We start from the raw sequence: 13268 nt of genomic DNA, 5'->3' as shown, positions 1-13268 counted from the left end.
CGTTGCTTTCCGTCCTGTTTCCCAGATTCCTCGTTGAGAATCCCAGGCTTAGGAAGCCCTGGGACACAGCACCCCAGTTGAAGTCACCCTTCTCATGGGATCAGCTGAGGTCTCACCTTCTATTTAAAGCCATTTTCTCTCCACGAGGAAAATCATCTGTGCATTCATCCAAGATGTGAGCACACAGTCCCAGGGGCCCTCAGGATGGTTCTCCAAGTAGCCTCGAACCGACCCATTTCTCTCCTTTTTCCCAGCATGTAGCTCTCAGAATAACTGTAAGATGTGCTGGGGATGTAACATCCTGAGACAGGGAGGAACTGCCTGAAGCAGCCAGGCCTTGTCCTGTTCCTCCTAAAGAATATCAGATCTTGAGTTAGGGAGAGGCTGCCCGGGACAGCCCCGGCTCCGTGCCTGCCTCCCCTGGGAGCAGGATGTCCTTCAAAGCTTTGCCCAGCCCTGCACTACATTACCCAGGTGGGCTGTTCTTCAGGGTCCCTCGGCCGTGGTCTAAGTGGGGCACACGCAGTTGAGACTCCATCAGCCCCGGGATAGCCTTCTTGAACCTTGGGGGACAGGCTCACAATGGATCTGAGACATCTTCTGTCCCTGGCTGCCAATTTCTAAGGAATACCCACCTCACATAGCTGGTTTCGTGTGAGCGTGTTTTGTTTCACAGACTTGGGCAGTTGGTAAATCTGTAGCCCAAGATGGCATGGGCAGAAGCGATTGGACTCCTACTCCTGGAAACTGGCAGGGTGATGATCTTCGCTTTCTACCCTGTCTGGGAGTCCTCCCTTGGGATTAGTGATTAGCAAACCTGCTCTGCACAATCCCGGGGTCCTGTTTTGAGATTCTACTTGCTGCGGGGACTTTGAGTACCAATTATGGCACCGGTCAGGATGCTGACGGAAACAGCATGCTTGAATAAAAGCAAATGAAGAAGGTTTATGGGAGGGGTACCCCCAAAGTTGCTGGCCAGGTTAAGGGAAATCAACAAAGGAAGATGAGTGAACCTGGAGCCCACATCTTTAGGAAGCCATGGGCATTCCTTAGCCTGAGATGGAAGGGGAGGGCTTGGTTATCCGAACCTAGTGAGAGCTGTAACTGTTAGAAAAGGTGGAGCCCAAAACATCAGGTGGAGAAGGGCAAACATTGCCATACTGCAACCCAGCAAAGACGTCCCAGGGCGGTACATAGCCTGGCCTCTCCTCCCTGCTTTCCACCTCCTGTCGGTGCCTCTCGTTGGTGGAATACAACGCGAAGCCACTGGACAAAGGAGCCTGAATGTGTCCGGAGCCCAGCCTTACACGGTGCAGAGCGGTGTGTAAGAATGGAGGCAGGGAGAATGGATCTGGAGAGACAAGCAGAGCACACCCAGCTCAACAGCGAAGTCGCCAAGCCCAGCTCAGTTACTTTATCCAAGTCACAATTTCTCTGGGCCTGTATTTTCTCTTCTACACAATGCCTAGCACACAGCAGTTCCTCAAACAGCAAGCGTTTGCTGAATGAGTGAATGAATGAATACACGGATGAATGGGCAGGGAAGCGGCCCCTGTGATCCTGAAATGAGTGGCACCTCCGCCTCCACCCGACAGCACTAGCACCCCACTCTCATCTTGGGTTGTTTTGCACCTTCCTCTCCCTTTGTCAGTATCTAGGACCTGACTATATTCAATAGTCATCTGAGCCGTGGATGCTGCAAGTGAAGGGGATCCATGCCAGGCCTCGGTGTTAGGATGGGTGGTAGAGCCAGGGTCCCTCAGGGCTCACAAGCATGTGCCGGGAATCACACCAGCCAACACTCACCAAAGGACAGGAGGAAAAGCCACCATGGGTGGGATATCGAGGGTGGCTCCCGCTGGCTCCCCCACCACTCCTGGTGATGTTCTCCCCACGACTGTCTTATAATAGGACCTGTGGCAGTCCTGGGGAAACACCAAAATGACGGTGGGGAGCTTTGTGGAACATCGTAGGCCCAGATCCCTACAACTAGATAGGGCCAGACCCACCCATGATCCCTGAGCCTTAGAAGATTGGTGAAGACCCTGAGTTCCCAGAGAATGTTTGCTCGTTGTAAATATGTCTCTGGGAAGGATGAAATGTCCTCCGCAACCATCACACAATAAAAGTTGGCTGAACAGAAATGCGTCTGTTGAAATGGGTGGAAACCCACAGTGCAAGGTTAAGGACTGTCCTGGGCAATCCCTGCTGCCTCTAGCTGGGCCCATGGGACAATGAGAAGTGAGGGAATGAGTTCTGCCTCTAGAACAGGAGACATTTACACCCTGGCACCTGAGCTTTGGGTAGTCTTCCTGTGGAGTGGAAGCCCTGTGCTAAGTGCCCAGATTGGCCCCAGCTGTCTCTGTGAGGGCACCTGCACAGTCTGGGGGTCTCTGGGACCCTGGTCCCCTCTGACATGAAAGTTTTGCTCTGGGGTATGCTCCCTCAAGCCCCCAGACTCATTGCCTTGTAGAAAGATATTAGATGGCCAAGCTCCAGACACTGAGGGAAAGGCAGGTATTTGTGCAGTAGCTACCTCAGCAACGTTGGTTATAACCAGCCCAGCCCAGCTTGTAGGACATGAATCTGAGGTAGCCAGTCAAATGAAAGGCATGTTGTAATTACTATTTTGTTCCTATGCGGCACTGAAGCTGTGACTCTCGCCTTGGGGTGATGTTAGAGGCAATGGGGTGATTTCGAGGAAAGATACTCTGGCCCCCAAATTCCTACTGCAAATGCCTGAAATTCCTTCTTTTCAGTTTCAGCCCTTTGGCTGAGGGCCAGAATAGTAAATCTTTGAATAATGTTTGTCTTCCATTAGAGCCTTAAAAAGTCTTTCAATAAATTCTTATTGCTTGTATTTCTTTCCTTGGGGTCCTGTGAATTGTATCTACAACCGGGTCCGAGGGACTGGTAAGAACTGCTAGGGAGACAGGCACATGGTCCACAGTCATCCACCCCCTCTTCCTCGGGAGTAAAGCTGTTCCTTCAACTGAAAACACTTCCTTAGAAGCCACATGGCAGAGACACAGGTAAGTGATGAAAAAGCGCACCGCTGTTTTAGAGACACAAAGTGTTGTATTTTGTGAGGACACCCAAAGTACCACTTGTGTAGACCCACAGCAGGAAGGAGTGAACGGAAAAGTAGCTGAGACAGGTTTCAATCAGCTCAAGAAGTTTGTTTTGCCAAAGTTAAGGATGTACCCGTCACACGGCCTCAAGAGGTCCTGACAACATGTGCCCAGGGTGGGCAGGGCACAGCTTGATTTTAAACATTTTAGGAAGAAAAGAGACATCAATCAATATGTGTAAGCTGTACACTAGTTAGGTCCAGAAAGGCGGGACAACACGAAGCCTGGGAACTTTCACATCACAGATAGATAAGGGACAAACGGTTGCACTCTTCTGAGTCTCTGATCAGCCTTTCAGTGAATATGCAGTTCACAAGTGAGAGAAGGTAGAGGAAGAGTCACTTGTGCCTTGGTCTGGCTCAGTGAATCTGTATTTTTCCATGAATACAGGGCAGAGGAAGTCATCAGACACACATTGGTCTCAGGTGAGCAGAGGGATGACTGAGTTCTGTCCCTGTTTGGCACCTGTGAGGATAAGCTGTCAACTCACATTGCCAGGATGAAATTCCACACAACTGTTTTAGGGTAAAGCTCTTGAGGCATGGCTGGGCACAGTGGCTCACACCTGTGATCCCAGCACTTTGGGAGGCCGAGGTGGCTGGATCACTTAAGGTCAGGAGTTCAAGACCAGCCTGGCCAACATGGTGAAACCCTGTCTCTACTAAAAATACAAAAATTAGCTGGGTGCAGTGGCTCATGCCTATAATCCCAGCTACTTGGGAGGCTGATGTAGGAGAATCACTTGAGCCAGGGAGGCGGAGGTTGCAGTGAGCTGAGATCATGCCATTGCACTCTAGCCTGGGTGACAGAGCAAGACACTTAAAAAAAAAAAAAAAAAAAAGATCTTGAGACCCACAAGGATTCCCTGTGAGCAAATGGTGAGGGAGCTGTGCAGCTTTTTATGTTTGTAGCCGTCTTATTTAGGAATAAAATGGGAGGCAGTTTTGCCTGAAGCAGTCCCCAGCTTGACTTTTCCTCTTGGCTTAGTGATTCTGGGGTCCCAGCATTTATTCTCCTTTCACAGAAGTGACGAATACCACAGGGTGAAGGCGGTCTCTTTCTCTCTGAATCATTTCTGTTTTTACTGAACGTCTTGCTGCACCACTTGCTGATTTCGGCGTTGTCTGTCCTTTTGTGTAAAGCATGGCGGTGTACTGAACAGAGGCTGAAGCTGTTCTGAGACACACAGGGAGTCACAGTCATCCTTGCAAAGGGCTGCTGGCGTTTCCAGCGAGGCCGAGGGCCTTGCGGTGTGAGATGGAGGGTAGGCCGCAGTGAGGCCACAAGCAGCAGGAAGGGACCCCAGGAGCTTCTGGCCTCAGTGGCAGCAGAGCTGCCCCAGGCTCGGAGCAAAGGGTACAAGTCAGGGGCATCTACGCAGAGACCCTCAGAGCCACCGGACTTTCTGACCTCCAGTATTGAAGCAAGGCCACTAAAACCCCGTGGAATCATCCATTGCATTTTTGCTGAAGCGGGAATTTGAACCTTTTATACCAAGAAGCTGCAGCCAGGGAAGGAGGCTGTCAGCAGGGGACACAGCCTGGCTGACTTTCAGCTTCCACACCGCATCGGTGCGTGGCTGCCGGTCTCCAATTATTGTCACAAGTGCATTTTACGAGAAAAGTTGTGTGATAAAATTATATGAGGATTGAGGGCATTGTCAGGACACTTTTAAACGTGCCTGCAATTCGTATATTTTGCTCAAATTCAACCCACGTATTCTAAAATTTATTAGGAATTCTCTTACCAACTTATAAGAAGCCCCAACCTAGAAACGGCCACCAGCATTCAGGCTGGATTCCTAGATGAGAGCAGAGCTCTGAGTGACTGACCATCTGGCTGTTAGGAAGACCCCAAGAAAAAAGTGAAGGAGATGCAGGTAGTGACTTAGAAAACAGAAACATAACCCTGGAGAGTGGAGAACTAAGTTCTTTGAAGTCTAGAAAGAAACAAATCTTTTTTTTTTTTTTAAGTTCTGGGATACATGTGCAGAACGTGCAGGTTTGTTACATAGGTATACATGTGCTACGGTGGTTTGCTGCATCTATCACCCTGTCATCTAGGTCTTATGCCCCACACGCATTAGGTATTGAGAAACAATTTTTTTTTTCTTGAGATGGAGTATCGCTCTGTCGCCAGGCCGAGTGCAGTGGCACGATTCTGGCTCACTGCAAGCTCTGCCTCCCGGGTTCAAGCGATTCTCCTGCCTCAGCCTCCCAAGTAGTTGGGATTACAGGTGCCCACCACCACGCCGGGCTAATTTTTGTATTTTTAGTAGAGGCGGGGTTTCACCATGTTGGCCAGGATGGTCTCAAACTCTTGACCTCATGATCCGCCCACCTCGGCCTCCCAAAGGGCTGGGATTACAGGCATGAGCCACCATGACTGGCCGAGAAACAAATCTTTTAAGAACCAAAACCTAACAGCTGATGAATTGTGGGCCCCTGGCACCAGCTAGACAGTGTTTCACAGAGTCAGCCGTGCCACAGAGGGTGGGACCAGGCCCTATTCTGTGGCACCACATAAAAGCTCAAGAAGTGTTTCCTGTGGGATGAGGAAGTGTGGGGGATGAGGGAGAGAGTTAGGGAGGGAGGGGGAGAGTCTTTACAAACATATGTATAATATTTAAGAGAGCCTAGAAAAATGGACAACCTGATAAAAACAGACTAGATAATTCCCATCCTGAGCCCCTGTGCACTGGTTAGTATTCAATAAATGTCTTCAATGATACATATTTTTTAAATTACAACACTTTAACAAAACACTTTTCAAAGTTAGCAATGTGGCTGCCTTGTGTTGCCATGAATTTTACTGCCATGCACTAGCATTGTGACTTCATGTGCAGCCTTAGTTAGCCTCCCCCAACTTTGATTTTGTCACCTTAAAGAAAATATTAGGAAGTAATGCTTCCCTGTCTCATTGGGCAAGGTTGCTTCAGGGCTGTAATGATGTACGGGAAAGTGCTTTGTAAATGATCAAGCCACGGGCAAGTACAATTCGCATTGCTAAAGTCCATAGCATATGTGTTGAGCCCCCAAAACCTTACAACAGCTAGCACAATAATATGCACATTTTAAACATTCAATTAATAGTCCTGGATAGGATTTTTATTTAATCAAATTAAAGGTCATGTGGCGGCCTCAATAATAGACTGGTCGAATCTGTGAGCAACATGCAAAGCCTTTTCAAATCTGCAATTCACAGTGGGGAAATCTTTAGTCATATTTTATAAAGTAAAATTTCTCATCTATGATATATATTGAATTAGTCATCTTTGGGAATGTATATGTGCATAAGGTACATATTATATTTTGAGAATAAAATTCAAGCCTCCTAATTTTAACCTCAGCGTCAACTTTAAAAAAGGAAAGGCCAGGTAAGGCACAGCCACTATTTGCATGTAAATGCCTGCCCTGTTTGAGTTCTTCATTAGTCAAAACAAGGTCATGTAAAGGTCTTCATGGTGGGCTCACACTGTGAAGACTTGGTGGTTTAGGATCTTCACTGAGATTTGCTGCCAACTGCAACAGCAACCACAGCACCTGATATGGTTTGGCTGTGTGTCCCCACCCAAATCTCATCTCAAATTGTAATCCTTGTATAATCAGGGGAGGGACCTGGTGGGAAGTGATGGGATCATGGGAGCTGATTTTTTTTCATGCTGTTCTGGTGATAGTGAGAGTGTACTCACAAGATCTGATGCTTTAAAAGTGGCAGTTTCCCCTGATCTCTGTTTCTCTCCTGCTGCCACGTGAGATGTACCACGTTTCCCCTTCGCCTTTCGCCATAAGTTTCCTGAGGCCCCCCAGCCATGCAGAACTGAGTCAATTAAACCTTTTTTCTTTACAAATTAACCAGATTCAAGTAGTTCTTTGTAGCAGTGTGAAAATGGACTAATACATAAAATTGATACCAGCAGTGGAACACTGCTATAAAGATAACTGAAAATGTGGAAGCAACTTTGGAACTGGGTAACAGACAGAGGTTGGAACAGTTTGGAGGGCTCAGAAGAATACAGGAAAATGTGGGAAATTTGGAACTTTCTAGAGACTTGTTGAATGGTTTTGGCCAAAATGGTGATAGTGATATGGACAATGAAGTCCAGGCTGAGGTGGTCTCAGATGGAGATGAGGAACTTGTTAGGAACTGGAATAAAGGTGACTCTTGCTATCTTTTAGCAAAGGGACTGGATGCATTTTACCCCTACCCTAGAGATCTGTGGAACTTTAAACTTGGGAGAGATGATTTAAGGTATCTGGCAAAAGAAATGTCTAAGAAGCAAAGCATTTGAGATTTGACCTGGCAGTTTCTAAAAGCATATAGTCATATACATTCGCAAAGAGAAGATCTAAAATTGGAACTTATGTTTAAAAGGGAAGCAGAGCATAAAAGTTTGGAAATTTTGCAGCCTACCATGTGGTACAAAAGGAAAACCCATTTTTTTCTCTGGGAAAAAAAAAAAAAAACTCAAGCTGGCTGCAGAAATTTCCATAAGTAATGGAAAGCCAAATGTTAATAGCCAAGATAATGGGGATAGTGTCTCCAGGGCATTTCAGAGATTTTCACAGCAACCCCTCCTATCACAGGCCCAAAGGCCTAGAAAAAAAATGGTTTTGTGAGCTGAGCCTAGGGCCCTGCTGCTCTGTGCAGCTTCAGGACATGGTGTCCTGCATCCCAGTCACTCCAGTTCCAGCCATGGCTAAAAGACAGCAAGGTACAGCTGAGGCCATTGCTTCAGAGGGTGCAAGCCCCAAGTATTGGTGGCTTCCACATAGTATTGGGCCTGCAGGTGTGCAAAAGACAAGAGTTGAGGTTTGGGAACCTCTGCATAGAATTTAAAGGATGTATGGAAATGTCTGGATGTCCAGGCAGAAGTCTGCTGCAGGGGCAGAGCCCTCATGGAGAACCTTTACTAGGGAAATGCAGAAGGGAGATGTAGGGTTGGAGCCCCACACATAGTCCCCACTGGGGCACTGCCTAGTGGAGCTGTGAGAAAAGGGTCACCATCCTCCAGACCCCAGAATGGTAGATCCACCAACAGCTTGCACTGTGCACCTGGAAAAGCTTAAGGCACTCAACACCAGCCGTGAAAGCAACCATAGGGACTGAACCCTGCAGAGCCACAGAGGCAGAGCTGCCCAAGGCCATAGGAGCCCACCCCTTGCATCAGCATGCCCTGGATGTGAGACATGGAGTCAAAAGAGATTATTTCAGAGCTTTAAATTTAATGGCTGCCCTGCTGGTTTCTGGACTTGCATGGGGCCTGTAGCCCCTTTGTTTTGGACAATTTCTCCCACTTAGAATAGGAATGCATGTACCCCCACTGTCATTTGGAAGTAACTAACTTACTTTTTATTTTACAGGCTAATAGGTGGAAGGGATTTGCCTTGTCTCAGATAAGACTTTGGCCTTGGACTTTTGAGTTAATGCTGGAATGAGTTAAGACTTTGGGGGACTATTGGGAAGGCATGATTGGTATTGAAATATGGGAAGGCATGATTGGTATTGAAATATGAGAAGGACATGAGATTTGGGAGGACCCAGGGACAAAATGAAATGGTTTGGTCTTGTGTCCCCACCCAAATCTCATTTTGAATTGTAATCCCTACATGTCAGGGGAGGGACCTGGTGGGAGGTGATTGGACTATAAAGGCAGTTTCCCTCATGCTGTTCTCATGATAGTGAGGGGGTTCTCATGAGATCTGATGGTTTAAAAGTATGGCACTTCCTCCTTTGCATTCTCTCTCTCTCTCTGTCTCTCTCTCTCTCCCTCCCTCTCTCTCTCTCTCCTGCCACCATGTAACATGTGCCTTGCTTCCCCTTTGCCTTCTGCCAGGATTGTAAGTTTCCTGAGGCCTCTCCAGCCTTGCAGAACTGTGAGTCAATTAAACAACTTTTCTATATAAATTACACAGCCTCAGGCAGCAGCCCCAGTCAGGGACTTATAGATAAAACTCCCATCTCCCTGGGATAGAGCACCTGGGGGAAGTGGCGGCTGTGGAGGCAGCTTCAGCAGACTTAAACCTCCCTGCCTGATGGCTCTGAAGAGAGGAGTGGACCTCCCAGCACAGCGTTCAAGCTCTAAGGGTCAGACTGCCTCCTCAAGTGGGTCCCTGACCCCCATGTATCTTGACTGGGAGACACCTCCCAGTAGGGGCCAACAGACACCTCACACAGGAAAGCTCTGGCTGGCATCTGGTGGGTGCCCCTCTGGGATGAAGCTTTCAGAGGAAAGAACAGGCAGCAATCTTTGCTGTTCTGCAGCCTCCGCTGGTGATACCCAGGCAAACAGGGTCTGGAGTGGACCTCCAGCAAACCTGCAGCAGAGGGGCCTGACTGTTAGAAGGAAAACTAACAGAAAGGAATAGCACATCCACTCAGAGACCCCATCCGAAGGTCACCAACATCAAAGACTAAAGGTAGATAAATCCACGAAGATGGGGAGAAACCAGTGCTAAAAGGCTGAAAATTCCAAAAACCAGAACACCTGATCTCCTTCAAAGGATCACAACTCCTCCCCAGCAAGGGAACAAAACTGGATGGAGAATGAGTTTGATGAACTGGCAGAAGTAGGCTTCAGAAAGTGGGAAATAACAAACTCCTCCGAGCTAAAGGAGCATGTTCTAACCCAAAGTAAGGAAGCTAAGAACCCTGAAAAAAGGTTAGACGAATTGCTAACTAGAATAACCAGTTTAGAGAAGAAACTAAATGACCTGATGGAGCTGAAAAACACAGCACGAGAACTTCATGAGGCATACACAAGTATAAATTACACAGTCTCAGATTCTTTTGCACAGTAGTGCAAAAGCAGACTAATACAACGCCTTTCCAAGCCCTTCCAAGCCTCGGTCTTGCATCAGAATTAAGCCCAGCCTCATCAGTGGGACATTGAAATCTTCCATTACTTTAATTCTTGCCACGTTGTCCCCAGAAGCCCTGACACCACCCTTCCGGGCTTTGTGTAATAGACTGATTGACTGATGGGTTGATCGATTCAGTTAGAACCGGAGACCCCACAAGGAAAGCACCAATCCCCAAGCACACTCATGTGTCACAGTTTAAAGGTTGACAGAAAAATGGACCCAAATATAATTTTCAAGAGCTTTCACCCTTGAAAGCAAACAGCCTATAAAAGCAGGTTTATTTTGCCAACCCCAGTAACTGACACTGCATCAGCAGTTCATCAGGGGAAGAGGCTATTTTCTTGTGACCTTGTTCAAGACCCTGTTAAATTGGTGGCAAGTACACAGATAATAAAGCATAGGGGTTTACAACTGTCCTGACTGCTCCTGCTGGGACAATGTTGTTTCCTTCAAGTCATCGCCCTCTCAGTGACTGTGACGGGAAACAATCCAAACCCAGGATCCAGATCCAGGAGAAGGGAGAAAAGTCAGCGCAACCAACCGAGCCTTGTCCCCACTTCCAGCCCTTCAGTTTTCCCAACACCTTTTCCTAATCACATGACTTCCTCATGTAATGTCTTCACTGGACCCTTCCTGTGGCACTCACAAGCCCCACAACCTGGTCACCATCTGACTTCCAGCCCCTCCTGTGACAGAGACACCCTAAGCTTCTGTGGGCCTGGCCTCAGGCCTGTGCCCTACGCTGTCCTTCGGTCATGCCACTTGCCTGCCTAGAATCTCTCCCTCCTTTTCCTTCGCCTCCTGAAATTGTGTATAAACCAGGGATGTGTTGGACGTTGCTTTTGATCCTCAGCATCCTTCACCCTGCACTGGAAATAACATTTCCCAGACCCCTTGCCAGCCAGATCCCAATTTGATACCTCCAACGAGAAACTTGTGCAGGACTTGGCAGGCAGGATAAAAAGAGGATGCCATTATTCTCAGTGGCTTGGAACTTGCAAGATAAACAATCACAGGCTCTCAGTTCACCTGCTGGTGCTGTATTGACAGCATTCATTGGCATCTTCAACATCTCTGGGTGTCCTCCCAAGACTCTCCCACTTTGATGCTATTAAAGGTATGATTTCCAGCAATCTCTACACTTCCAGATTTCCCGAAAATAACCTCCCTTGTCTTCACTTCCTCAGCTTTCCAGTGGTTGTTTAATCTCACAGTTCTCAATATCGAGTCTCTTCCTACTTTATAAATCAAAGTTGCTTCTCTCTTCTGGCTGATCCTAACGGAGAAAGTGGAGAAATTTGAACATTTTTAACAGCTAGTTTTAGAAATGCTTTTAGGAAGAAGATCTATTTGCTGGGAGGACCTCTTGAAAAGTACTTAGAGTAGAAGATGAGATATCCAGGGTCAGATGTGTAGATGGAATCTTTTCTCTAGAGAGTCAGGAGGTGATGGAAGAGGAGACAGGCTGGAGCCAGAAGATGATACTACCTCCCCAGAACCTTCAAATCTTCAGTGAACTAGAGCTTAAGAACAGCATACCACAAATATATTTCTTGTAGACAGTAATTTTAGAAGTACCTCTGTACACAGGAGGCCCAATGGAGCTGGGAGAGCCTGAGCCTGGGAAATCAGCAAGAATCCCGGAGGAGGATGTTCTGCCCAACTCCCCCGCTTAAGTGCCAGGGTCCTGCTGCTGTGCCAAGTTCCTGGGGGCTCACGGCCCACCTGCCCACAAGTTCCCATTCTCTTCCCTCAAGGAGCTCTGCATGACCTTGGGCCCTGCCTGTTGTCCAGCCTACTCTGATCAATTATTCCTGGGTAAATGCTGCCAACAATGTGTGCCTTCTTCCACAAGCATTCTGGAAATGATAACTTAACCCAAGAAGAGTCAATTTGATGGAGACATTTCAGGTACAGCTTCAGGTAATGAGAGATAGTTGGGACTTTCTGGTATCCATAAGGCCAAGTTACGGACAACTCTTAAGCATGGAGAAATTATTATAAACTGTAGAGAGAGAAAGCATTAACAATAAAAGCAACTGATTGAAACACTAGGGGACATCAATGAACAACGCAGTATATGCTCATTCCAACACTACGCACCCCACATGACCCCACAGACATATTTACCCAGATCCAGAGGCTCTGCTTGGAGAGTGTGCACATGGATGAAAACTCCTTTCCCTAGAAGGACACTTCTTGCCGTGAGTTGCCATGCGGGTTATTTCCTCTGGAGAAATCCGTTCTGAATTTGGTGGTAACTGACTTCACCTTGCTAGAACCAGGGCACTTCTGACTTCACAGAATCCCTGCCAACACTACTAAATGCAGATAGGTAGATATAGGTAACCCACATGTCTCTGGGGCACCTTTTTCCCCAGACTATGTGCTATGGAAGATTTGTTATGAGACGAGAAGAGTTGACAAATTTAAATAAGTTTGGAAAATGCTCCCTATCTCACCGTCATTTCACAGATTTACAAGGTACATTAGCAAAATACAGACTAGAATCAAGCAATAAAGAAACGCTTTTAATTGCCAATTGTCTAATGCTCTCTAATATTTTCTAAGCAACAAATCCTTTCTCAAAGTGTCCTGTGAAACAGGGATTCCAAGGATCCCTCTTTTGGAAACTACTCCGGAGCAAGTATGGTCTAGGTTTTATGAACCCCTGTGCCTGTTTACCTGCCCCCAACATTTGGCAAATATTCCTCTAGAAGAGGAGAGGCTACTCTGCAAGTTGTAAAATATATGTCTCATCTCCACAAGCTGCAAGCAGCTTCTCCCATCCCTCCAGACCAGAAGTTTGCTTAGACTAGGCATTTTGGAGGCAGGACATCTATTTGCCCTCTTGTCTCCAGAGAAGTTGACCTCTTCCTTTAGACTGTCAAGAAACTGGCCAACAGCCCACAAGATTCAGGGACAAAGGTGAGGCTTTATTTATTATGGAGGAGCTGAGTAGCCTTCTACGTGTTTTTACTTACAAATATTAATTCTTGGCCGGGCACGGTGGCTCATGCCTGTAATCCCATCACTTTGAGAGGCCAAGGTGGCTGGATCATTTGAGGTCAGGAGTTCAAGACAAGCTTGACCAACATGGTGAAACCTGGTCTCAACTAAAATACAAAAATTAGCTGAGCATGATGGTGGGTGCCTGTAATCTCAGCTACTCAGGAGGCAGAGGCAGGAGAATCACTTGAACCTAGGAGGCAGAGGTTGCAGTGAGCCAAGATCACGTCACTGCACTCCAGCCTGGGCGACAGAGTGAGACTCC

The sequence above is a fragment of the Homo sapiens genome, chromosome 7, assembly GCF_000001405.40.
Source record: "Homo sapiens chromosome 7, GRCh38.p14 Primary Assembly".
Lineage (NCBI taxonomy): Eukaryota > Metazoa > Chordata > Mammalia > Primates > Hominidae > Homo > Homo sapiens.
The sequence above is the reverse complement of the archived record's forward strand: the minus strand, read 5'-3'. Positions refer to the sequence as shown.